Source organism: Homo sapiens, chromosome 18, assembly GCF_000001405.40.
Source record: "Homo sapiens chromosome 18, GRCh38.p14 Primary Assembly".
NCBI lineage: Eukaryota > Metazoa > Chordata > Mammalia > Primates > Hominidae > Homo > Homo sapiens.
In genome coordinates, this window is record NC_000018.10 from 3,394,886 (window position 1) to 3,395,317 (window position 432).

General features: G+C 55.8%; 1 pseudogene, besides 1 other annotated feature; it reads left to right on the top strand.

The window, feature by feature from the left end:
• IGLJCOR18 (immunoglobulin lambda joining-constant/OR18 (pseudogene)) lies at positions 1-432 on the top strand (annotated as a pseudogene).
• Positions 22-243: a silencer, noted in NCBI's record as "fragment chr18:3394905-3395126 (GRCh37/hg19 assembly coordinates)". NCBI's record gives its function as "represses an EF-1alpha promoter that drives an FKBP-Casp9 reporter gene in an ReSE screen in both phorbol 12-myristate 13-acetate-treated (for megakaryocytic differentiation) and untreated K562 erythroleukemia cells {active_cell/tissue: K562 | K562(+PMA)}" and the evidence as "EXISTENCE:reporter gene assay evidence [ECO:0000049][PMID:32094911]".

Genomic DNA, 432 nt, shown 5'->3' on the forward strand with positions numbered 1-432 from the left:
TGTTTCTGCTGCAGCCCAGCTCCTGGACTGGCCCCAGGTTCTGGCCCTAAGGGTTTCGATCCAAGCATCATTCACTGTCGCACATGTTTGGCAGCAAGACCCAGCCCACTGTCTTAGGTAAGCCCAAGGCTCCCCGTTTGGTCACTCTGTTCCCGCCCTCCTCTGAGGAGTTCCAAGCTAACAAGGCCACCCTAGTGTGTCTCATGAATGACTTCTACCTGGGCACCGTGACAGTGGCCTGGAAGGCAGACGGCATCATCATCACCCAGGACGTGGAGACCACTAAGCCTCCCAAACAGAGCAAGAAACAGGCCAGCAGCTACCTGAGCCTGATGCCTGAACAGTGGAGATCCCGCAGCAGCTACAACTGCTGGGCCATGCATAAAAGGAGCACCCTGGAGAAGACAATGGCCCATACAGAATGTTCTTAGG